General features: G+C 38.0%; 1 protein-coding gene and 1 long non-coding RNA gene across 4 annotated transcripts in view; both read left to right on the top strand.

The window, feature by feature from the left end:
* Window positions 1–27,568, top strand: part of VWC2L (von Willebrand factor C domain containing 2 like) — a 167,923-nt gene that overhangs the window by 99,068 nt on the left and 41,287 nt on the right. Inside the window, exon 4 of one of the 3 annotated variants that reach the window (NR_159945.1) lies at window positions 23,875–24,024. The exons of the other annotated variants lie outside the window; for them this stretch is intronic. The gene's annotated coding sequence lies outside the window, so the exon portion shown is untranslated. The remainder of the gene's footprint in view (window positions 1–23,874; window positions 24,025–27,568) is intronic. 3 annotated transcript variants of the gene reach the window in all.
* Window positions 61–26,769, top strand: VWC2L-IT1 (VWC2L intronic transcript 1). Its single transcript, NR_047698.1, has 4 exons — window positions 61–94; window positions 15,053–15,220; window positions 23,875–24,024; window positions 26,641–26,769. It is a non-coding gene; the product is annotated as a VWC2L intronic transcript 1 (long non-coding RNA).

The following is a 27,568-nucleotide window of genomic DNA, read 5'->3' on the forward strand; positions in this document are numbered from 1 at the left end:
ATGTTATTCTATCCCTCTTTTTTCAGAATCAGAAAGCCAGTTGATACTCATTCTGAAGTTGTCAGTCCTAATAACTAATTCATGGGATCCAGATGTAAGCTGAATTGATTATCATAGATTGTGATCAATTATGTTTGTACTTTTGTGGTCTCTGTGGCTGTGCTGAAATGTTTAGAAAATATAATTTATTCCCTTTATGCATTAATGAGTAGGCATTAAATATTTAATTCATTTACATGTTATCTGGCCCCTCTATTTGGAGCCGCTTTCTGTTAGTTCTAGACAGTCTCCTAAGAAAACAGTATTATTTCCAGTTTCTCCCCCACATTGTATCATTCAATTTATCCTTCTGTGAAAAACCGACAAGGTACTTTGTGGTTCTGAGATTTTCTTCTTCCCTATTTAAAACTTTATGTAGTAGATTAACTTACTTCTAGTTTCCTCTCTCACAGTTCTAGGAAGGACTTGTCAATCTAATATCAAATACTGAAGCAAAATTCATTTTAAACTTAGGACTTCTCCTGATCCTCACAGATAAAGCCTAGTGACTCCTCCAGTCAGCCAGAATCTCATTTTTAACCATTTAAAAATATACACACAGAGTGTATTGCCTGGCACTTATTTATTCCCTAAAAGACAATTACTAAATAAATGAATGAATCCTAGATTTTGCTCTACTCTTGGCTCATGTGGTAGACAGAATAAAGGCAACCCTGAATGTCAGTCCACATCCTAACCCCCAGAACCTGTCATTATGTTACCTTACATGGCAAAGGGTACTTTACAAATGTAATTAAGTTTTTGACCTTGAGATAGGAAGATTACAATGAATGTATCCACCAACATAACACTTTGAACCTATATGTAATATTTGTAAAAGTAAGGCTGGGCATGGTGCCTCACACCTGAAATCCTGGTACTTTGGGAGGCCAAGGCGGAAGGATCACTTGAGCTTAAGAGTCTGAGACCAGCCCAGGCAAGATGGAGAGACCCCATCTCCACCAAAAATTTAAAAATTAGCCAAATGCAGCTACATGGGAGGCCAAGGCAGGAAGATCACTTGAACTCAGAAGACCAAGGCTACAGTGAGCCATGTTCATGCCACTGTACTCCAGCCTGGGCAACAGAGCAATACCCAGTTTCAAAAAAGAAAAAAAAATTGTTAAAGTGACCAAAAAATGAAAATCTGTAGCCAAACCACTGTGGACTAAATTGTGGTCCCCCCTCAAATTCATATGGAAGCCCTAATCACCAAGGTGACTGTCTGGAGATAGAGCCTTTAGGAGATAATTAAGATTGAAAGAGGTCATAAGGGTGGGGCCCTAATGCCGTAAGACTGTGGCCTTATAAGAAGAGGAAGAGAGAGAGAGATTTGGGACAATTTCTCCTTCTTATTTACTCTCTGCCGTGTGAATACTCAGGAAGAGGATGCCTATCTGCAAACTGAAAGGAGAGTTGTCATTAGAAACTGAATCGGCCATCACCTTGATCTTGAACTTCCCAGTTTCTAGAACTGAGAGAAATAAATGTCTGTCGTTTAAGCTACCCAGTGGTATTTCGTTATGGCAGTCTGAGCATACTAGCACACACATCTGAAAAATATATATTTCTCCACAAAAGGTATATAATCTCATGAAACCCTTCATTATTTAAACTGAAAGTGTAAGAAAGTTGAATTGGATGAAATAATAGTTACACAACACACTATATATATATATACACTTTATATATATATACTCTATATATATACTTTATATATATACTTTATATAGATATACTTTACTTTATATATACATATACACACACACACACACACACACACACACACACACCTGGTCATGATCCCCAAAGAGTCATGAACTTAATGCTTACCCTTCTCATTAGTGTTTCTCTTTTTGAGACATATTATTTACAAGCCATCCCTCTCTCACAAATGGACTATCCATTTCACTTGATCATATTTGATTATAGTCTTGATATCACTTGATTATGGTTTCATAGAGTGCACACAAGACTGATTAAAATAAATTTTTCTTTCTACAACAGATTTGCTAGCAAGCAACTGTGTTGCTACCTGGCCAAGCAAAAATAAACCAGCATGTCTTTCATTTGCCAAGTTCACTGTACCTTCAGGATACCTATGCTATCATGAGGTGATCAGAATCATTTGCATTTCAAAATTTTCACTATACCAAATACTGCATGTTCACTTATAAGTGGGAGCAAAATGATGAGAATACATGGACATATAGAGGGGGACAACACACACTGGGGCCTGTTGGAGGGTGGGGAGTGGGAGGAGGGAGAGGAGCAGCAAAAATAATTAATAGATATTAGACTTAATACCTGGGTGACAAAGTAATCTGTATAATAAACCCCCATGACACACATTTACCTATGTAACAAACCTGCACACCCTGTACATATACCCCTGAACTTAAAAGTAAAAAAAAAAAAATTTTACTCTCACTTTCTAAAAATTTTTGTCAATGGACATGTACCTGCTGATGAACAGTAGGATTTATGTTACAAACCAATGACCAAATGTAAAAGAGTAGGTGGATGAATTTCAACACCCAAGAATTTCAAACCTAAGAGCTGTCAAAAGTAACAGTTTCCCCATACAACAGTGGTAGACTACAGGAAGAATGCATAAGTGGATATAACTGGAATGGAATCATTTATGACTTTATGTATCCAGGTTGGGATGATGAATTATAGCTAGAAGTAAAATGATCACATAAACTACAGTATCTAAGTAAAATACGTGCTAAGAAGGTCCTCCTGAAACATCACTGGTTTTTCAAGGCTGGCTCCTTACAGAATCCACTGAAACTCTGGTGATTTTCTAGGTTGAATGTTTATAGCATCTACTAGAGTGATAGTCCAACTATGATGAGTAGATAAAGGCTGCACAGCCCTGTTGAAAAAGGAAAGCTGCATCTTGGTCATCAGGCTCAGTTAAGTAAAAGATTATCGCACAGCTACAAATGAGGGAAACCTTAGAACCAGCCTAGCACTGATGGTAACATTTTAGAAATGAATGTCATTTTGGTCAGACAAGTGATTACTGTCGGGTCAAAGAGACCCAGGAATGTCTCCTCAATCATTTCATGCACTAGACCTTTCCCCTGACCTTCAAAGCAGGGCTTCCTTCATCTTGAAATTCAATCAATTGGCCCTCCCAATCAGAAACATCCAACAAAATCATGCAAGCCAGGCAAATAGTTTTGTGAGCTGATTATTGAATGACGTCCAGAATGCCAAAATCATAGTCCTGGGCAATGTTTCTGAAGATGTAAAAAGTATGATTCATTTTACCATTAGGCTGTTATCAGAAAGATTCTCATTTGACATTTAATCTTCAGGGACGAATTCCATGCAAACATTCGTAACGTGGCAGAGAAGATTTTCACTATTGCTGTTCCTTAGAACTGTGACATGAATGGAAGTGAGTCCAACATGATATGTGGCCATATCTGTTATTCATTCATTCACTCATTCATTCAGCTATTCAATATATAATTTTGGAGGACCTATTTAGTGCCAATCAAAGCTTGCTACAGATGGTTCTATCGAGCCATCTCTCCTTCATAGAATAAATGATCCTCAAGTTGGGAAACACAAGTTATAAAACAGAACCCTCTATACAAGGCAAGAGTGTCCTCTTAGCACCCCTCACAAGTGCTCAGTCTCTAGTTCAAATCTTCCGGAAAGCTCTAAAGACAAATTCTCAGGTGTATGAAGTCTTCCCTTCAATATGACCAGTAGCAGCCATATTGCCCTCTGCCAGTGGCATGGCATCCTCAGTTCAGTCAACAAGTTGAAAGGACATCAGCTGCTAGAAGTGGTCTTTGGAGATGACAGCAGGATGTTGATGGAGCAAGTATCTTTGGCTTGGGGTTTTATTTATAATGAGAACTGATTGATGGTTCAGCCCATATACACACACTCATGCAAACGACTTCATCTTTACAGCACTAAATGTAATGCCATGTTAATTTGGATAAGCAGTTGTTAAGGTTCATATCAAAGGTTTTTTTTTTTTCTGTAATCATTTACTTAACGTTTTAATTTTTCCCTGTGTAGTCTCCCAACTAAAATCATCTAACAGTAATCTCTGTGTTAATACCAGACATAGACAGAAAGCATCTGTATTATGTCAAGTGTAAAAGAAACAGAAAAGCAGCAATTTCTGATCTTTAGGTAACACTTTTTTTCGTTCTTAACATAATTTTATGTAACAGTGGAATATGATATTATAATATCAGGGCAAATTTTTGCAAGCCTATTTGAAATCTCCCTTTCCATTCATTTTAGTCTCTGTCTAGATATGGATATAGTGCAGTTACAGATACAGAGAAATAATGGAATAGTAGTAAACTTAGTTATTTTTACAACTAAATCCCACCCTCCACTTCAGCATATTCAGTTGCGAAGGGGCAACATTTTGCCAAGCAGACAGTATAGTAAGAGGAAATCATGATACATTTTTGCAATCCTGTGTCCTACAACAATAGGATATTAAGTGCCTATAGCACTTCACCTAGAAATCTGTTACTGGGTCAACAGCCCACTATCTAATGATGAGAAAAGGAGGGCTGGATCCTGTAAATACATACACATGTTTGAACACTGACAGTCACTTTTTGGTGAAAATGTGTTATCCCAAAATTGGCATAATCACAGTTTCCACCTCGTTTATGACCAGCATAAAAAATTGCATAAAATATCATGCACAGCTGTAGTCAGAAGGAAGATTCAATTTGGGCTTTGTGCAGACTTGACTTGCTGCCAGTGCAGTTACATACATCATCTAGGGCTGCATTTAAAAGGATAAAATACAGTTTTAATTCCTGTGGCAAATTTATTTTTTCAAGAAGAGATAAAAATGTTAAAATACATCATAAAAAGCATTAAGTCCCTCCCTGCCCCCACCCAGTCCATCTTTTGTTAATATAATGTTAAAGGGTTAGCAAAAGATGGGAAAGCCATAAAATTAAAGGTTAGGATTGCAGCTCTATCTGTCCTCGGAATGAGAAGGAATATGGTATGATTGCATACTCCTTTTTACTATTTAGACAGCCTCGTTGGGAATATCATATGTGAACAACCTCGAACATCCCTGCTGGTTTCTTTGAGAAATCTCAAAGGCCACAGTGATAGAGAACAGCATGGGCAAGCTACTAAAGACAGACAAGGTTTTCATCTGAAACCTAAAAGTACAATATAGCACACAGTTTTACAAGGAGCTCTCCTCCACCCCTGTGGAGGAGAGGGCTGACTTCTAGCATCCTGTGTGCGGCTGTATCACAGCATCTTCCTACTCTCAAGAGCCTTAAAGGGACAGCTGCTTCATTTCCCAATCAGGGTCCAAAGAAAACAAGTGAGTTGGCAAAATCCACATGGTTTTTCATTTATTTATTTATTTTATTTATTTATTTATTTTTGAGACGGAGTCTCGCTCTGTCACCCAGACTAGAGTGCAATGGCACAATCTTGGCTCACTGCAACCCCCGCCTCCCAGGTTCCAGCGATTCTCCTGCCTCAGCCTCCCAAGTAGCTGGGATTGCAGGCACCCACCACCAGTCCCGGCTAATTTTTTGTATTTTCAGTAGAGATGGGGTTTCACCATGTTGGTCAGGCAGGTCTCAAATTCCTGACCTCAGGTGATCCACCCATCTCGGCCTCCCAAAGTGCTGGGATTACAGGCCAGCGTGTACAGGGATTACAGTGAGCCACCGTGCCCTGGCCACATGGCTAATTTTATTGACTGAAGCAGAACCAGACCTCTATTCTTGGAAATTTGAACACAACATTCTTTCTACCTCTTTATGCTGCCTCAGAAAGTGCTTGACACCTCTAAGAATGAATGAGAGCATCCACTGAGAGATACAGGTGAGAACTTTTTATTTCATAGGTGATGGTGTGCTGCAGCCAGTTGGCACAGACTCTTGAGAGTCTATTATTTTCATCTCTTCCTGACTCACATTCAGTGACTTCATACTGATAACTTGAAATTAGCCATACGGGGAGTATTTACACCACCACAATTGGCAAATACTACAAACCAGGGCTCCCTCCCACCCGCTGCATAGACCTTGATCAACACATCACTCTTCTCGGTGTATCGCCCCAGGAGTCAGCTCATAAATGATTAAGTGTAACGCTGCTCTCACCCAACAGCCCTCATCCCCTGCCTCCTAAGCTTCAGTGATCAATGCTCAGTTGTTTCCAGCATGGCTTGCCAGGAGCTGCTATGAGGCTCCTTCAAGACCACAATGAATCTTGTGAATCAACTGTTTCTGTGGGTAAGGGCTACACCAGCACGCCCAAAACCAGAAGATACCAGACTAGGCAGTTTTGTCACAATTTATAGAAAGCTAATAGGCTCAATAGTTTTGTCAGAGCTTGAGGTTCCAAAGATTTATTTCTTTTAATCTAAAGAGTGCATTGGTAGCTTTAGTTTATGTCGATTATGCATAGCTTATCGTTAAGCAAAATTGTGCTGCCAGAGAAACAGCCTTTTGAAATTAAAAAAAAAAAAAAAGGAAGCTGGGGAAGAAATGTATATAAAGCTAGTTCAACTGCAACCAGAGGGTCTTCTTTACCAACAAGAGGCAAGGAAATATAGTTTTTAAGAGCTTTGAGGCATGTAGACTTACGTTTGGTCCCAGGTCTAGCAACTATGAGCCCTGTGATCTTAATACAAGTTAGAAACTTCTCTAAGCCTCACTTTCCTCATACGTAAAATGAAAAAGAAAAATAATATCTTCCTGTTAGGGATTACAAGGATTAAATAAGACAAAGTACACTAAACCCTATCTTCTTATGCCTACCCAAGAATTTTGCCCTAGCAATTCTTCACTCTCACTCTCATTCTCACTTTTGCTCTCTCCCCTGCATCATCAATGTTTTTGTTCTCTGCTCAGAAATTTATTCCCTGCCACTCAAATGATCTCTAATGACATTGTCAAGATTATCAGTGACCTCCATGTTTCTAAATTCGTTGTTCTAATCTTTGCTCTCATCTTCTGTGTCTTAGCATGTAACACAGTTAATTAACACCTCCTCCTTAAAATACTTTCTTCACTTGGCTTTCAGTACCCCAGACTCTCAAGGTTTCCTTCCTATGTATGGGCATTACCAATTCCAGTTGTCTAAGAGCTAAAAAGGAGAGCTATGTAGTGTTATGACAGGCGGCTACAGGGTCACTGGACTGCAGTGAGGAAGGTGGAGTTGCTGCAGGTAAGATGCACAGAAAATGAACAGGCCAGTGGTTTCCAATTTTTGGCTGCACGTCTCAATCAGTTGGAGGGCTTTTGGAACTCATATTGCCCAAGCCACACCAAGTAAATTAACATCTCTAGGCATGAGATCCAGGTGTCAGTATTTCTTCTTTAGGTTCCCCAGTTGATTACACTGTGGGACCAACATGGCAAAACATTGACCTAGATGCAATAAGAGAAGTAAAGGCAGATCCCAGGAGGAAGAAGCAGTTTATAGAAAGATTCCATGGGGTAAAAACTAGCAAATAAATGAACACAAAAGACTGAAAATGTTTAATGACACCAGAGCAAAGAAAATAAGAAATATAGAACACTTGTAAAATAATGGTGATAATACAAGGCATAATATTGGTTAAAAGATGCCAAAAAGGCCACATTTATAAAGTACTACTTAAGAGACTGGGAGAATAGAGAGATGGTTTGAACTCATGAGAAAGCAAATAAAGATAACAATTAAAAGAATTAGTACTGTGTGGTCAGGCGTGGTGGCTCACGCCTGTAATACCAGCACTTTGGGAGGCCAAGGCAGGCAGATCACGAGGTCAGGAGATCGAGACCATCCTGGCTAACACAGTGAAACCCCGTCTCTACTAAAAATACAAAAAATTAGCCAGGCGTAGTGGCAGGCACCTGCAGTCCCAGCTACTTGGGAGACTGAGGCAGGAGAATGGCGTGAACTCAGGAGGCCGAGCTTGCAGTGAGCCAAGATCATGCCACTGCACTCCAGCCTGGATGACAGAGCAAGACTCTGTCTCAAAAAAAAAAAAATGAATTAGTACTGTATGTCAACTGATAGAAAGCCTGGAGTCAAATTACTTGTATTTAAATTTGTATTCAACTATTTTCTTTGTGCTAGGGCAAGATACCTCAGTTTTCTCATATGTAGTATGTATAACAATATAAAATAAACTTATTTCATTAGTTCCTTGGAGGATTAATTTAGATAATTTATATAAGGCACTTAGAATAGCACTTGACACATAATAAACATTAAATGATGATGACATTATGATGATGCAGGTCTTTGGCAAAAGTTGAGGGAACTTGGCTGAGAAGTTGGCCTAAAGTTAGGGTTCAATTGGGGAGAACTATGATAGATGCCAAGCTAAGTTCCCTTCTTCCAACCAGGACTAGCACAAGAAATACTGTGAAGCATGAAAAGCTTGTCTCTAGTCTGCATATTTGTTTTATGGCACTTTCCCCCTTCCTTGTCCTTCAACAGCAGGATTTTTCTACTTTCGAATACCTCACAGTAGAAAATGATTTGATAACAGTACCACTCCTGGGATTACTTTTCTCAGTAGTACTGTATATCTTAAAGCCTTACCTGAAACTGTGGAATGAAAGACTCTATCCCCAAAAGAATGTTAGTAATCAGAAAATTAAATGAGATAATTTAGATTAAAATCACTTTTAATTTATAAATTGCAATGCAAATATTAACCTTCACCTATGATAATTTACTTCTACAAAGCCCTCTCATTTTTAAGGGGAGTATCCACTTTATTTTCCACATGCCCATCAAAGAGCATATTTGATCTTACTAGAAGGCCAATATCCCTTACTAGTAGCACATTAATCCTAGACCTATGGGGAAAAGACTTGACTGCAATGAGCATTGTGACAAAAAGGAGGTTTTCAGGTTGCTTATACAAACTTTCGTTCTTTTGAAAAACCTTAGCATGAAAGACATGCTGCTTTAGTCATAATCAGTGCGATTGAGGAATAAAAGGAAGGGAGGAAACGCAGAGATTCATGTGTTCCTGGAATTGCAAAGCCTGTTCTTTTTCAGAACCTGTTCTTCCATTTAGAATTCCCACTTCTTACCCATGTACTGCTGCTCTTTCACCCACCGAAGAAAAAATTTATGAAGCACCCACTATGCACCAAGCACCTTTCATGGTCCTAGAAATATAAGATGATAAAACACAGTCTCTGCCCTTGAGAAGAATGCAAGAGAGCAGGGCAAGCAGTCCACTTATGCAAATAGATCATGTCAATATAACGTAAATTGCAAAGACAATAGGAACAAAGATAGTAGGTACACAGTGCTCTGACAGCTGTTCTTTGCCCACATTGGAAACCATGATACCACAAGTGTGTCTTGAAAACCAAGAGCCTAATTAGGCAAAGGAATCTGAAAGAATTTTCAAGATAAATAAAAGAAAACAGGAACTGGCCACAACAGTGTGATGGTTAAATTCTCTCTCAAGTGGTCTTTCTCAGAGTATTAGTAGCCTGGTCTCCAATTACAAAAGCCTTTCGCTTCCTCCGTAGAGATGCCATATTGTTTCTTTCCACTGGTCTATGGTGATGGTCCCATTTTCTCCCCATAGCTTGCTCTGAAGGTGCACATTCAGTTGGTGCATTCACTTGCACCCAAACTGACTCCCCCTAGGTTCACACGCATGACCCAATGATGCCTCTGCACCACAAGGGAAATGGTCTATAAATGCAAATCAAGATTTATATATGTGCAAAGAGATACATTACAATAATCTACATGTTTCAAACAATACCAAAAAGGAGTAAATACACATTAAGATGGCTCCACAAAAATAAAACACTCTAAAGCTCTTAAAAATACATAATTCGGAAATTTTAATTTTATGGTATGGGGAAATTCTCAGAATATTTGCTCCTGTTATACACACACACACACACACACACACACACACACTTATGTAGATGTCTTGTGTTTACATAGGTCCATTTCTCAAAATTTGAGGGAAAAAAATGAATATATAATCCCACCACCCAGAGATAATCATTGATAACATCTGGGCATACATTTTTCCAGCCCATTCCCCATATATACTTGCTTCTTTTTGAAACAAAATTAGAATCCTGGGGGTTTGCATCATACATGATGCTCATCCTATGTAACATCATGTCAAAAACACTTTTCCATGTAATCAATTATTCTTTGAAAATGGGACTTTAATGTCTGTAAATATTCCATTTTTTTTTAATGTAGCATAACTTATGAAGCAGTTTCATTATGGTGGACAGTAATAATTTCTATACTCTGGTTTTTATAAATGATTCTTCAGTGAACTTCCTTGACCATGAGTCTTTGTTCATGATTCACTTATTTCCCGAGACTGGCGATATAGAAGTAAAATTACCAGGTCAAAAGGTAAAAGAATTCTAATGCTCTTGAACAATATTTCCCAAATTGCTTTCCAGAAAGGTTATACCAGCTGATATTCTCACCAGTGATGCACAACGGTGCCCACAACTCTCACACTTGCCAGCATCAAGTGTTATCTTTTATCATCATTGCCAATTTGGTAGACAAAAAACAGTATTCTTTTTTGATGCTATATTGCATTAAAACAAAGAATACAAAACTACATATGCGATATGATCTCAACAATGTAGAACTATGGCCAGAAAAATAAAGGAAAGGAAATACATGAAAGTGTAAACATTTTTAGCATCTGGTGGTAGAATAACAGATCAGTGCTTTTTTATATATCATTAATAATAATAGTAATATATATGATTATTCAAAAGCTACCAAGTTTGGACTGGGTGCAGTGGCTCACACCTGTAATCCCAGCACTTTGGGAGGCTGAGGCGGGTGGATCACGAGGTCAGGAGATCGAGACCATCCTGACTAACACGGTGAAACCCCATCTCTACTAAACAAATACAAAAAATTAGCCCGGTGTGGTGGTGGGAGCCTGTAGTCCCAGCTACTCGGGAGGCTGAGGCAGGAGAATGGTGTGAACCTGGTAGGCGAAGCTTGCAGTGAGTGGAGATCGCGCCACTGCACTCCAGCCTGGACGACAGAGGGAGACTCTGACTCCATCTCAAAGATAAATAAATAAATAAATAAATAAATAAATAAATAAATAAATAAAACTACCAAGTTTGAGCAAACATGCTACATAATTTTCATGCAGCATCTCATTTAATCCTCAAAACACTGCAAAATTTTACCCCATTTACAGCAGTAAATGACTCAGTCAAGAAAACTGGGTAGAGGCTGGGACAGTATTTAAACTCTAGCTTAACTAATTCTGCATTTCCTGCTTTTTCCTCTTCTTGCTCTTAATTTAACATATTTTTGCTTTCTTGTCAATGAGCATTTTTTTAATCATAAAAAGCAATAAAAGTCATCTTAACTGTCTGCCCCAAATAAGAGGATCCCCTACTACATTTGTTGCCAATAAAATTTGGCCAGCTTCTCCAGAAAGTAAGCTCATTCCCTACCTCAGGGAGGTAAATGTGAGGTTCTCTGGACATCTCACAATGACCAGGACTTGCCCAAAGGCAAGGGGTCACCAGCATCATTAACTGGAGTAACTCTTCCTTGCTCTACGAAACCATACCACATGGGTAACTGCCTAGCTCAGCACACATCATCTTGGCTTTGGCTTGTCAGCACATCACTCTGGCCACAAGAAATGCTATCTGTATGAGCAAAAAAGTAGCGACATTAGGGAGATAGGTAGGCAAAGTCAGAATCCAACTTTTGTCCTTCCTGCATTAATGAGAGGATTGTACTTTCTTCCTATTAGCATTAATCTTAATAGCTTTTGAGAACATAGCAGGCAGGAAGCAGTGATATAAATATGATGTGTTCTTATGTTTATAAATGATGTTTACTTCATTACGAAAGTCCAGATAATAGCTAGACAATGTTTAATCCTAGTCTTTTACAAATTGTATTTTGGCCGGGCGCGGTGGCTCACGCCTGTAATCCCAGCACTTTGGGAGGCCGAAGCGGGTGGATCACGAGGTCAGGAGATCAAGACCACCCTGGCTAACACGGTGAAACCCCGTCTCTACTAAAAATACAAAAAATTAGCCATGCGTGGTGGCGGGAGCCTGTAGTCCCAGCTACTCCGGAGGGTGACGCAGGAGAATGGCGTGAACCCGGGAGGCGGAGCTTGCAGTGAGCCGAGATCGCGCCACTGCACTCCAGGCTGGGGGACAGAGCGAGACCCCGTCTCAAAAAAAAAAAAAAAAAAAAAATTGCATTTTTTTCCTCTTTGCTGATTCCTCCTCCACTTCTATTTCTTTATATTCAATTTTTAGTGGGTACATAGTCGGTGTCTATATTTATGGGGTACAGGAGACATTGGGGTACAGAAGATGTTTCGTTACAGGCATATGATGTGATGTGAATAAGTGTGTCATGGAGAATGAGGTATCCATCCCTAATTCTAGTCTTTACATACATATACACAATATTTTAAATATATACTATCTACCTAAAATATTAACAAATCTGAAAAGGAGTCATTATAATATGTCTTTTGAAGATAAATTTGGATAGATTTTTTAAAACATACTACCTAATTATCATTACAAGCTACATAAATACATATTTGCAATAGATGAATACAATAGCTATTTTATAGAATAAGAAGCCACTTTTCAAATTGTTGTTTTTGTTTTGGCTTTTATTAAATCTTGATATGTTAAATATTTATATTGAGAACACAATACACAGAACAATACGGAAAAAATAAAGAATATTTGTATGAGAGGAAAATGTCCCAAAGCTGACTCTTTTTAATATAAGAAGAACATGTTGCTTGTTTATATAATATATTCAGACACACTGTCCTACATTTATACCAAAGTGGAAATAAGCATTAACAAACTAGACTTTATTGGTTGAGTTTTGTCCAGAGAGAAATAACTTTTTATAATGATTCTATCATTTAGTAATAACTCCTCTTTGTTTCAATGGCTAAAATGTCCAGGTCCTAATCCCCTAGCCCCATGCCATTGCCTTATTTCATTTTAACTCCAGTCTCTGCTAATTGTTGACCTCTGTGACAACATGAATCAATGCAGAGAACCCTTTGAGGAATTCGCATTCTTGAGAAAAGTGTTACTGAGTTACCTATGTCTTGTTTTCCAAGAGCCAAAACAGTCTGCAAATCTGATCACATTTTGCTTTTCCCCATTTTCTATGAGATGCCCAACTCATTTATGATAGCTTCACAATCTTCTAATTTGCTGGTTGTTCTTTGAATTTCAAGGTTTTTCATTAGAAAGGAAAGTATTTTAGAAATCTTAATGTATACTTTTCAAGTTGAGAAACAGATTTTTTTCTAAGATGCAAAAAAAAATTACTTGTGATGATACTGAGAAATTAATATAAAATTATTGTTTAAATTTGAGGTTGGGTGTGGTGGCTCATGCCTGTAATCCCAGCACTTTGGGTGACCAAGGCAGGTAGATCACTTGAGGTCAGGAATTTGAGACCAGCCTGGCCAACATGGTGAAACCCCATTTCTACTAAAAATACAAAACTTAACTGGTTGTGGTGGTGCACCACTGTAATTACTCGGGAGGCTGAGGCAGGAGCATCCCTTGAACCCAGGAGGGTTCAAGGCTGCAGTGAGCCGAGATCGCACCCTTGCAGTCCAGCCTGGGTGACAAAGCAAGACTCTGTCTCAAAATAAATAAATTAGTTAATTAGTTGAATAAAATTTAAAAGACTCAAATCCTGACAAATATTCTGCTTTTAGTGCTTAATTTAATGCTTAAATTTACTGTTAATTTCTGGGGTTTGTTTTAACTATGACGTGTAATGTGATTGATTTAAGCTTTATTTGGAAAGGAAATTAGAAAATCCATGTCTTATATAGTCATAAAGTTATCTTAAATCATTATTACAAGAGAACAAAATTTTAAAAAGAAAAATTTTAAATACATTGAACCATAGTATATTGTTATATACAGCATTTTTTTCAAAGAGGCAAATTACTATAATATGTACTTTGCTACCTAACAGCAATAAAACTCACGTGACAAACTTTTACCCCTCTTCATTTGTACCTGTGTCTTGCCAACCTCTCAGTTTTCTGTTTCTATCTACCCAAATTATTCTTGGTTGTTAAACAGTACAAGTTCAAGCACAAAATATCACCTTAACACTATGAAGGACAATATTTGTTTTCTAAAGATGACCAGGTCTGTTTCCGGTCATTCTTTTTCTAAGAGTTTCTACCCTCAGTAAAATTTGTACATCTCAGCCACGTTCTGAGGATTTTTCTCCCTTAGATCTGATCTGGAGTCTAAGTTTTCTCTAAAAATGAGGGGATTAAACTAGAAGGACCTCTGACCTTTATGGGCAATACAAATTGTAATTAACCCAGTTTGGATTCTAACCTATTCTGCATTCGTTCCACACGTATTTATTAAGTACTAGCATGTGCCAGGCGCTGTTTTAGGTGCTGAGGATACAGTGGCAAGTGAGAGCCACATGGTCCCTGCCTGAACCTAATTACACTCTAGAACGTAATTACAGCTGAGTGAGGAAGTTGATGATGCCGCATCAATGCCCCAGTTTTTTTCTCACTAATGCCCTCGTCTCTTCAAATGAAAGACTGAACTCTTCACAACTTATTTAAAAGAATCAGATCATTTGACTATCACACCAAATATATTGTAGACCGTTATAGAATCTTGACTCAAAGTTTAGAGGAACACACAATAAATTCATTTCTATTTTTCCACCGACATCTTCAGAGCCAAGGGCACTTTGGCTGGCTTTTTTTTTTTTCTTGTTTTTAGAAATGTCAAGTACAAGACAGGGCCACAGACCAATTGAGTGGTTTGTGTTTAGAAAAGCTTGGGTGCAAGAAGAGTTCTCTCTCTGCCTCACACACACACACACACACACACACACACACACACATACACTTTTAAATAATGGGATCATTAGTTCCTAGTGAATTCTTTTTGCACTAACTGAAAAACTATTTCATCCTATCCGGTCCATTTTTCTTCAGGAAAAATCCCCATCTGGAATTTTTAACCACCTTGAGGGTCAGAGATTTTTTTGAGAATCAGAGGAAAGCAATGAACCTCAGGCCTGGCAGGTGAGGGGACCAGGAGAAGACAGGAAGTACATGTGTGCAAACAGACAAAAGTTTGCACACAAGTAGTTCATTCCCAAGGTAAGCAACTCGGTAACAGAGTATACAAAATATTACATTTCACAAAAATGTGTTCTACAAAAATTAGGATTACTGTTACCCGGGTGAGGAGGTTGTTTCCAGAGTCAATAAGTTTGGGAAATGCTGGATTTGAAAGTGATTTTTCAAAATTCTTTAGTATATGAATGTGCACCGCACTTCCTTAAAAAGATGATGTGAATGTGGCAATAACTCTCTTAACTGCTCTGGGCATGGAACCCCCTGGAATTGCCTCTTCTGACCGGTGTTCTAAGAAACACTCTCAGAAATAATTCATTCCTCACATCCCTACCATGCTCCCAGATCCATCAGTTGAATCTGGCTGCAGAAGATCATCTGCTATGAGAAAAAAGTCAGTCAATAACATTAAGGTTAATAGTCAATGATTGTTGTGACATGAGCATTAAAAACAAATAACTGTCCACTTGAATTGAAGGAACCTTTTGCTTTTTAGTTAAACCTTTGGCCCTGAAAACACAATGTGAGTGTGGTTTGAGCAAGTTTCTAAGACTTTCTCAGCTTCAGTTTTCTCACATATTAAATATGGATAAAAAGTAGTACATACCGCATACCATTATTGTGAGAATTAAATGACTTAGTACATGTAAGGCATTTGGAACAGTGTTCTATATGTATATATGTTCTCAGCATATAAGTACCCAATAAGTATTAGCTATAATTTTTATTTTCCCAGTCATACCAAAAATAAATAACATATATTATTAATATATTTTTATATATTCATCTATTATATATAATCACTCTGGAAGCTCAGAATAACGTATATATCCACAGAGAAATAAGTATTATTAATATTTTCCAAAGCAGACAATGGATACTCTGAGAATATCTGAACACAAATGGAAACATTTAGGGGGAAAAGTTACATATTTAGAGGAAAAAAAGCCATTTCTTATCCATGAGAGTTACTTACATTTCCATGTAGTTCTATACATATATTTAGAGCTACATCACCATGTAGAAACTTGGTTAAAGAGTGAAGTGAAAATGGATTAATCCTCCCTGCTCACACCTCCCCATATTCATATAATACTTTTTGGCATTTTTCGATTCGTTCACTGTAGAATAAAATAAGTGACACAATTACAACCTGAGGTATTTAAGAGTAAAACCACAGCCTGCTATAAAGAAAGCCATCATCACCTATATAAGGACACAAAATATAAGAGGATTCAAACCTGGCTGAATTCCACTTTGACTTGCCTCATTATCGTAAGCTTCTCTAGAAGGGATAGGGAAAATTCTGTTTCTTCCTATTGGTTTCTCTTCTTCCATGGCTTTCTTTTCTCATAAACCTAATTACCACATGTTAGCCAGCTTGCGCCCTTGCTTATAACTCTCTGATGAAGAAAAAAGAACGCTTATACCATGCTGGTGAGAATGTAAATTAGTTCAGCCACTGTGGAAGGCAATCTGGAGAATTCTCAAAAGACTTACAGCAGAACCACCATTCAACTCAGCAATCCCATTACTGCATATATAACCAAAAGAAAATAAATTGTTCTACCAAGAAGACACATACACTCATATATTCATCACAGCACTATTCACAATAGCAAAGACATGGAATCAACCTAGGTATCCATCAACAGTGGATTGGATAAAGAAAATATGACACATGCTGGTGTATAGGTGGTTCCGTGGTAGAAAATATGGCACGTATACACCATAGAATACTACACAGCCATAAAAAAGAACAACATTGTGTTCTTTGCAGCAACATGAATGCAGCGAAGGCCATTATACTAAGCAAATTAACACAGGAACAGAAAACCAAATACTACATGTCCTCACTTATAAGTGGGAGTTAACATTGGGTATTCAGGAACATAAAGATGGCAACAATAGATACTGGGGATTATTAGAGGGTGGAGGGAAGGAGTGGGGCAAGAGTCAAAACACTATCAGTTACTATGCTCGCTACCTGGTTGACAGGATCATTTGTATCCTAAACCTCAGTATCATGCAATATACCCATGTAATAATCCTGCACATGTACCCCCAAATCTAAAAAGTTGAAATAAAAAAATAAAAGAAGAAGAAAACCATCTCCAATTACTTTCCATTGTGCTTAGAATGGAATCCTTAACTAATGATGTGGCCTGCTGCTGCTTCTGGCCTCTTAACTCACACCACTCTCCCCTACCTTAGCTTTTTTCCATTCCTTGAAGCAAGTTCTTTCCTGCCTCAGGGCCTTTGCACTTGTCATTATCTCTACCTGGAATATCTGTCCCTCACATCGTACTTAGCCTGATTCCATCTTACCATCTGAGCTGGTAAGAGATGGTAAAGGAGATGTCTTTCCACAAGCCTGCCCTGACTCCTCTGTCTAAGGTAGCCCTCCTCTCCCTGTTTATTGTCTAAATAAACCAATTTTATTGCCTCAAAGTACCAATATATACTTGACATTAAGTAATACATTAATATTAACACCAAATTGTTCTCCATAGTTGTATCCATGGCATAAATGAAGTCTTCCATATCTGTTCTACTTTAAGAAGTCATCCTTACTTATTGTTACTGCCCTATATTAAGTCTTTCTCAACCAGTAAGCTGAGATAAAAATTAGGTCATTTCTATCATTTACAATAAATTACAAGGTATATAACTGCTAAATTAATTTTAAATCATCCCTTGGGTATGTGAATAGTAACAGAGGAAACTGAAGCTCACATATTTCACTTACGAAGTGTTTTATAAACTTTGTACTCAAAGTTCTATAACACTTTGTAAATGGAATATGTTTTCAGAAAATGAGACTGCTTTATCTCTTGGTTGGTCCTGAACCCTGGAAGTATCAATAATTCATGAAATCATACAGTTTAAGCATTGCAAGAAAACACAATAGCCTTAGAACTAGCTGGTTCTCCAGCATTTGAATCCCTGCTATGATGTTCTTACCAAGTAATTATTCTTCATGAATCATGAATTCACAACCTCTTGAGGTAACACTTTCTTGTTTGAAGACCTCTGACTTGAAGAGATAAGCCCCACAGTGACTTATACTTATTGGTGTATTTCAGTATCTTAAATCCAAGTGGAATAAATCTAACCTCTCTTATACACACCAGCCTTTCATGTTTCTCAAGACAATTGTAATATCCTCTTAACTTTTCTTTTCTCTGAGATAAAAGTTTTAGTTCCTTCAACTATTCTTAATATGCCATTGTTTCACATTATCGCCAGGGAGTAATCTTTTAAATTTACATCTCTTTTTTTTTTATAGTCTGCTTCACAGAGGGAACCCAGAATGAACCATTTGCCACGGGTAACCAGATCACTACAGAGCAAAGCAGTCTGTCAAAACCCATGTTCGTGATGTCAAAAAATAACAACAACAAAACATATCAAAGTAGCGGGGAGTTTAACACACAGAGTAGAAAAAACAAAAGAAAGGAAACTGCAGAATACCTGCTCCTCTTGCACTCCTCAGCCACACACCATTCTCTCTCTAATCATTTCTAATCTCTTATTAACTTTTCTTTGCAATTAAGTTCATGATAGAGTCTCTCTTCCTGAATTTTTAGAGACAATAAATCCTATTTCACTTCCACTATATGAAGTTGCCATTATGCAATTATTTTCACCTACAAAAATAGCCATTTCTTAGAGCTTGACCCAATGTTAGCAGGTATACATAAACAAATTATACATCACTATTCCTTAAGTGAGAAACTGGTCGCTGGAGAGTAAGGGACTTGCCTACAATCACAAGCTAGACAATGACAAAACCAGGATCTGAAACCAAAGTCCTGATCCAACGCTCTTGCCACCTTAGCACAGGTCCTTTCCCAAGGCCAGCTTTTGGATTCCTAGAGAGAAAGTGAACGTGTTGTATGGCAAGGCAAATTTCATCATCTCTTCATGTTGAAACATGTAGAAACTGAATCTCAGAGAAGTTTATTAACGTGACCAAAATCACAAATTGGGCAGTTGGGAACTCAACCATGGGTGCCCTGACTCCAGGGCAAGGGGCTCCTAGCCAGCGTGACAGGTTCAGTATGTCCCTGCTACCATTTGCCTTTTCAATGAACAGTTCCTGGTTCATGGGTTTTCTAAGATTTTAAAACTGAAGAAAACTACGGAAACTCAATGACCAAACTCTGTTTTCTCCTTTATTTTTTATATGCCGTTTCTTCTTACAAGCACTCAAGACCACATATTTGATTTACATCTTTAGGCACTGGAAACCATGGAGGCAACTTGAAAAAGCTTGAGAGGCTAAAAGCACTTGTATCAAAGCCATTCCCAGGTCCAGGTTTTGTTCCATTGCAGCTTTATATCTAAATTATGAAGCTTTTCTACAAATCGGGTTCACAGGGAAAGTGCTGAGTCATTTTCATTATTGCATCGATTCTACACAGGGGTATCACTATAATGTTTGAGGAAGTCAAACGGTCACTATGTTTAATTTATATCTCAGATCGATGGAATTATCAAGTCATCTATGCGCATCTGTTCAAGTGATTCATGCTTACGCTCATATACTGGGTAGTTTCATTCCTCATCTTTTCTCAGATAAGGAACTGGCAGTTCCAGAAGCCTCCATCACTAAGTCCTGCAATTCAGTGGATTCACTAGCATCTTAAGTTTAAAAACAAAAACTTTCTTTGAACTAGTAGTTCTTCAGGTTTCACAGCAGCAGCAAAAGCTGAAACAGCAATAAGCATGTCAAAGTCATGAGAATTACAGTAGTCAAAGAATAACTTACCATATGAGAAAAAAATGAAATTACTCTATACTTACATTGCCATTTCCTTGGCAAAGTACTTTTTAAAATGAGTTTGTGCCAAGTGGGGCTCAAGCCAAACCTTCTCTCCTTCACAGCTCACCTTTCCTTAGTTAAAATGTTAAAGTCGTGACAGCACCACCGTTACCACAGCATTGTGGCATGTGGTTAACAAAGACAACCAGCAATTACTCAGTGAGGAGAGAAAAGTTAATGCTAGAAGCAGAGGGGATCAAGATTACCTGTGGAGCTCAATGACGACTAGTAGCAAAGTCTACACTTTCTAATAATATGAACTATTGATCCCCATTTAGTCATTTGCTTACAATACACATTAGGTAATGTTTGCCTGTGCTCTCATCCCATGGCAGCTGATCCTTTATTAATAACACATTCTTAGCACTGACAAAGCTGAAAAGATAGGCAGACATAGACCCCAATCCTGATTCATGGGCTCACACCTTCCTGGGAGAGTTGAGAAAGGGGCACTAGAAGAGGAAGGAGATGGATCTTTCAAGCAGTGAGAGGATAGAAAAGAAAAATTAGGGACACAAACAAATTTTGGTGAATTGTAAGTAACTTGTACAAGCTCTGAAAATAAATTGGTGTCACAGGGACCTAGTTATATCTGCTTTCAGCCCATGGCGAGTTAATAATGTATACTTATATAAAATTTATGCCCACTCATAAGCAAAGCTCATTACTAAAACAACATTAAGCTGGTAGCCATATAAAAGGGAGACCCCTGAAATCTCTAAACCATTGCTTAAACAGCAATATTAACTTTGTGTGTTTTCAGGTAGCTGCATTGGCAATCGTGTTAGGATGAATAGGTGAAAACAAAAAATTCAGCAATGTCAACAATGGGGGTGGTTTAATATTGCCACCCACCCACACAGTAATTTGAATGTTTCCTGAATCTAAGATATTTCCATCTTCATCCTTAAGTGAACTTAACTGTGTTTCGGCATTGATCTTGCTACTTGCCTGTAGACTCAATAAGGTTGAAAAGGAAAGTGGCTATTCCCCCAAGGACCTTCCAACCAACATTTTTACAAATTTTGAGTTGAGTTGGGAATCACAGGAAACAGGAAAAATGCAAGTAAGAGTCCCTACCTACACAGCAAATATCTGTAGGACTTTTGACGAGTAAACGCATTCTGATCGTGTGTGGACTGTGTTAGTCCAGACAAATTTTTCTACTGAGGATATAAGGAAACACTGCCAAATAATTATTACTTGGAAGTAACAAATGCTTTTTAGATGAAGTTATTTCTTCCTTAGTACAGGAGTCCTTCTTCCAAATGTATGGAAGAACAGGTAGTTCATTCTAGCTCAGTAGAGAAACGTGAAAACAAAAGGAGCAATTTTGCATTTTCTCTGTATTAGAATATTAGATCTATTCTACAGGTAATCAACTTTTCCTTCAAGTAAAGTGTTCTGTTTTTCAGGGAGGGTAAGCTCTTCAGTCGGCAGATGTCAAGCAAGGCCATTTCTTAAGTGGGTTCTTTGCAGAAGTGGTTTCCTTCACATTAAGGCAGAGCCAGAGGTACCGTGGCCCAAAGGACAGTACAGCTAAAGCAATTTCTCATGTGACTGTCCAGGGGAGCGCCCACATGAAAACATGACTATCAGTGGAAGCTACCGAGGTCTTATTTTCTTGTTGAAATAACAGTTTTGAATGCTTGCGTTTCAGGTTTCCAGAGTTGTCTTAGCTATCATAATTTTTCAAATGAGTGGAAATAAAAACTAGAGTAGCATATCCAAGTGCAGTTTTATAGTATTTCCACACATGCACTAATGATATAGTTCTGTAATCTACAGTGTTTCAATCTTCATAAGGAATCATACCACAATACTACTATTTCTCTCTCAGCTCAGTAAAGGCTAAGGGGAGAAAAAGAAGTCTACTTCTCTGGGGGTGATTATAATGGTTGTAACATTTATAATGATTATAAATTTTGAGATCATGAAATGCAAAGGTAACCATAGAGATAGGAAACCTAGGCCAGAGACTGAAAAAACCTGCTTCATTAGTTGACATAACCCACTTCTGATCACATAGGAAATGCCTACACAGCACCTAATACATATTAATAGTAGGGAAGCAATAAATAACTAGAATTCCTAGTAAGAATAGTAATAATATTAGGAGTATCATTATGACTATTACTTGAGATTCCAGATGTAAAAGCTGGTGATAAAATCTGATCTTTTGCTTTGCGCACATGGATATTACTGAGGTAAGAACACGCTTTTCTGATAAATGTACTATGGAAAAAAAAGTCATTTTATTGCTATCACACTAAGAAACAGACACCCCAAGCATTACATGAGTAGTCTTTCCATGGAGGAGTCAATTCTCACCTTTCTTTTTAACAGTTCGATATAATCCTTTTATGATTGTGTTGAAATGTCTTTTACATTCACTTTCCATTTTTTGTTGGTATTGAAATTAGGAGACAAGAAGAAGGGCTAATATCCCTTCATTTTTTAGCTCTGTGGTAATTCTGCAGGCTTTTACAAAACTATCAAGCATTTTTGTGTATGGTTGTTGTGTTTCTTTTTAAGTCATGTATTTATAAGCAAAAAACCTGATAATGGCAGCTTTTTCTATTTGATGGTTTCAACTGACTGATAATGGGGTATGGGTGAAGAGCAGTGAGCAGAACTCATTTCAGGTGTTAGAGCAGAAACCTAAAACTTTCTCCCAGCTGAGTCTTTGCTGCCTGAGACCGGATAGGAACAGCCAGAGGTAACCTCATTAGCCCATGAGGCTGGCTTGGAAATACAGATGCTGGAGCAGTGACCTAGAGAGAGGGGACCCTGACAGGCTGACTCCTGCATTTTTTCCTGTGACACCCTCTCACCAACCCAAATCCTTTGTGATACCTATACCAACTTCCAAAGTCATGACTTCTTTTATAGACTGAAACCCAGGACAGTCTACAACCTCTACAAGTGAGCAGAACAAAATTCTGCCTACATCACCATATCTGATTCGTGGCTCTGCTTGCGATTACCTGACAAACCACTTAACCTTGCCATGCTCCAGTTTCTTTTGTAACCCAGAAACACAATAATGTGAAAATCTCTCTCCTGGGATTGTTTTCAGCAGTAATTACATACGTATATGTATGTATATTTATATGTATGCAGATGTATATATATTAAAGCACTTTAGCTTATGAGATGCTCTAGCAATATTTAAAGATAAAGTTAGAATAATTGAACAAGCCTGCAGCTGTAATGGGTCTGCTCTCTTCGAGGCTGCTAGTATTAAACAGCACAAATTGCAGCTGGTCTTCCCAGGTCTCTACCCCTGGGCTTTGCCACTGACTTGCTATCTAACTTCCACTTTGGAATGTCTCTGCCTCCACATTCATCTTTAAAATAATCTGAAGTGATGAACTCCCTTGTAGGGCATAGAGGGGAAAAAGAAAAAAAAAAAGCCAAGAGATTTAATAAGTGTAATTGAAAAAACAAATAACAGACAGGATCCAACGCTCAAAGACACAGTTGTTATTCCTATTCATATAAATGCAAATTCAGCCCAAGAGTAAAACCACATGGAATTCTCTGATTTAAGGAATTTCCCTAGTCATAAACACAGACATTTTTCTGGTTTCAGTCAACCGAATAAAGAAAAGGTTTTAGGAAATGCTCACAACCTTGCCTTGAATTATCTGTATACAGCTTCTACAATTTAAATTGTTGGAGTTATCTAAGGATAACAGCAGTCAGAGTTTAGCCATAAACCTTCCAAGTAACGGTGACTTCCTGAGAGCCCCTTCTAATAAATATTTCTAAACTGTTTTCCTTGAGTCATTGCCAATAAAATGGATGGAAACGCTTTCAATTCTCTCTTTTTCTTTCTTGGTCATAGCTTCAGAACCCTAGCGCTGCTTGATTCCCTTCAGTTGCAGATATTGGTGGCTGGAATCAAGGGCCAGGCCCCAGAAAAGTTTCACAGAAGGGACATACATAGGGCCAAATTGGACCCTCCGATTCACACCGGGTATCTCTGAGATGTGTGGTAAGTGTCTGAGGTACTGATAATGCTGCAGCCAAGATGGTAAAATAGAGCCAACACATCACTCACTGTACCAGAAGCCGTTGTCGCATCCTAATGCCAATTGTGCTGCAATGCATATTGCTTAGGCCATCACTAGGCCTGGGTGCTATGCATTTTAATTGCACATGCTGCAATTAAAATTTAGGATTTCAAGAAATTATTGCATTTCTTTGGTTTCCAGTTCATTGTATCTCTGCGTTCTTTGATAAAAACGCATAACAACTGCAGTTGTGATATGGACAGAATCCTATGGATTGTTTGCAAGCACCTTCCACTTTAACAGAAAGAAATACATCACCACCAATGAGAAAGCATTGGTGGGAGATACAGAAAATGCACCAATTAGAGCTGCTGCATGACTCTGGGAGCATCATCTATTCACCACATTGTGAACTGTGCCCCCTGGAGTTGTGCAATGTAAACATCCTACAAGATCATAGATATCCTAGAGAAATCTTATTAAAGAAAAACTGACTCAAATACCTTAGAAATGTCCATCTAGGAAACATTAAGTTCTGGTTCTTCTGTGCTCTAGGCCTGACTTTTCTCACACTAAATAGAAGGTTACATGGCATTATCTCCAGTGTTAACTCCAGTTCTGAAAGTCTGTGATTCTAAGAGTAGGCCAATTTATACATATCAAGTGGTAATGTCAGATGCAAATGTTTCCCTCTTTTTAAGCAGTGTTCTTGTAACTAGTGTTATATTAGTGAAAACAAGGGAAATTTTCAAATAACCTTGAATTGTTTTCCAGTGGGCCTTAGGAAAGAGGTTAAGTCTCTGGACTGCCTGACCCATTCAGTTTCTTTCACAGCTATGAAAATACTGCAAAAACGGATAGGCGGAATGGAATCATAAAGAAAAGGAAAGCTTCATTTAAGCAATATAGGCAGTATTTCAAAAATGATCCTAGGAGTTTGCTTCCTCCAAGCTGGAAACATTTTTTAGGCTAAACAATAAAGTCTGCTTTAAATCATATGCAAACAAAGCAGAGTCCTTGATTTGGGGTAATATTTTTCAATTTTGTATTTAAAACTGTGTTTCCTATAATGTTTTCTCAAAGCATCTTTTGCAATATCACCAGTCAAATTCTTTACTGAGTTTTACTTTCTGACATTTGATTTATAAAATTAATGAACATACTAAAGAAACTTTTTGTTAAAGTTCCCATGCTCTTCTCCACCCTTCTGGTCCAAGATTCTCATACCATATCATGCTCTTCCAACATCCACCCCTCCTCCCCGACCCCACCACCGTCCAGTCAAAAAGTTCTTATATCCACATTGGCCTATTGAAATGTGATCTGAGCTTGGCTCTCTCATGGGAAAGACCAGGTTTATTACATTCAAACAGAATTAGCAGCCACTTCAAATACTATAATCCAAGCAGCACTGTGCTTATAAACCATGAGCTTTTGTTTTAGAAATATAAACAAAAGGGTGATCCTTAAAGCTGCGTAAGTCATCCCAATTTCAAGTATTGGGTATTGGTCTGACAGCCTGACTCAGGCTGTATACAGCTACAGAGTACTTAGATCAATTAGATAAATTAAATTTTATAACAAAAGTCAACAGGATCATGATAGAAATTCAAACATAATTTGGAAAAATGAAACACACACACACACACACACACACTAGTCTGTACCTAGAAACAACAAAAAGAGAAGATACAGGACTCTGACCTTATAAGGCAGGCAATATATACTCCCCTCTAAAAGAGAATAGGGATACATTACCTCAGTTTTCAGGCTTTCTATCCAAACCTAAGCTTTACCTGGGCAGTCCTGCTGTTACACCCATTTAAATTTCCTTCCACATCTCTTTTTGGCACAGGGGAAATCAAAGTGTTTCTCCTAACTTTGTTCTTATCCATCCATTACACTACACTGTGAGGACCTGTTTTTGCTCACCATTAGAGCCCCCATGACTTGCATATTGCATGGCACATAGTAAATGCTCAGTAAATAACTTGTTGGAATGTTGGAATGTTGAATTAAAGATTTGATTTTTTTTCTTTCATCAAACACACACTTGCTGAATGCCTACCACAGGTTCTTTTTGGCATAAGCCCTCAATAAACATGTATGTTAATTACAGGGCAGTTTCAAGTCAAGGTCAGCTTTTCACATGAGAAAAAACTTAGGTGGACCAGCAGAACCTTCTGTATTCCCCATGATCACAATGAATTAAAGCAAAGTTCATGACATTGAAAACACCTTGTAGTGTTTAGATACTTTTCAGCCAGCTAGGAAATTGACTACTGGTCAGCACTTACTTAATCCACCATCGGAAATTTGGTACTTGGGCTACATCAAGTTGAATCTTAAAATCTTAACATTTATGAGTAAAAATGAAAAAAAGCATAGAAATGACTATTTGCCCTTATGCTTTTTGTGGAAAAACAGACTTAGCTTCCTTTACCTTTCCTTCCAACAAGTATTAGCATTAATCTTATGTTCTTATTATCATATAAAAGTATTTTACCTTCACTTCCTATGAAGAAAGTTTTCTAAAAATGTATATCTAATCTCTTCCTTCCATGCTTGAAATATTCCCAATTGTCTTCAACATAAAGTCAAGATTCCTAGCGTGATTTACCAAAGGCTTGATGATCTCACTTCATCTTTATTCTGCAAACTCATGCCCTAGCATTCTTCCCAATAGCAACTATCACTATCCCTAAATAAATGTTTAATACTTGAAATTCCCAAGCATGCATTGCTTTTTTTCTCCCTCTTGTCGTCTCTGTACAATAATGCCTCTCACCACCCACCCCAAAATTATTTCCTACACACACACACACACACACACACGCACACACACTTTACAAAGCTAACTTCTATTCATCCTTTTAATTACCTCGGGGCTCATTCTTCCAAAAGACTTACAAGATTTCCCCCATCCCTCTCTCCCATAATCTGGGTTAGTTGTCCCTCTTAGATATACTCTACACTGTCAAACCTCGTGTGTCCACTCACCCCTACCCCAATAGTTTGTAAGTTCTTGGAAGACAGAGCATAAATGTCTCTGGATCCCTAGCATCCAGGAGAATGCTTGCTATTTCATAAGGACTCAATAAAAGTGAATTAAATATACCACATTTTCTCGATCCATTCATCCATTGATGGACACTTCACTGATTCCATATCATGGCTTTTGTGAATAATTATGTCACATGTGGCAACATGGATGAAGCTGGAAGACATTATGCCAAGTAAAATCAGTCAGACACAAAAAGACGAAAAAAAAAAGGCATGTTCTCTTTTATATGCAAAATCTATAACAATCAAATTCATAGAAGCAGAGAGTGGAATGGTGGTTACTAGAGGCTGGGGATGAGAGAGAGTGGAATGGTGGTTACTAGAGGCTGGGGATGAGAGAAATGAGGAGATGTTGGCCAAAGGGTACAAAGTTAAAGTTAGACAGGATAAATAAATATTTAAGGTGGAGAACATGTCAATTACCTTGATTCACTCATTCCACATTGTATACATACATCATAA

Source organism: Homo sapiens, chromosome 2 (assembly GCF_000001405.40).
Source record: "Homo sapiens chromosome 2, GRCh38.p14 Primary Assembly".
Lineage (NCBI taxonomy): Eukaryota > Metazoa > Chordata > Mammalia > Primates > Hominidae > Homo > Homo sapiens.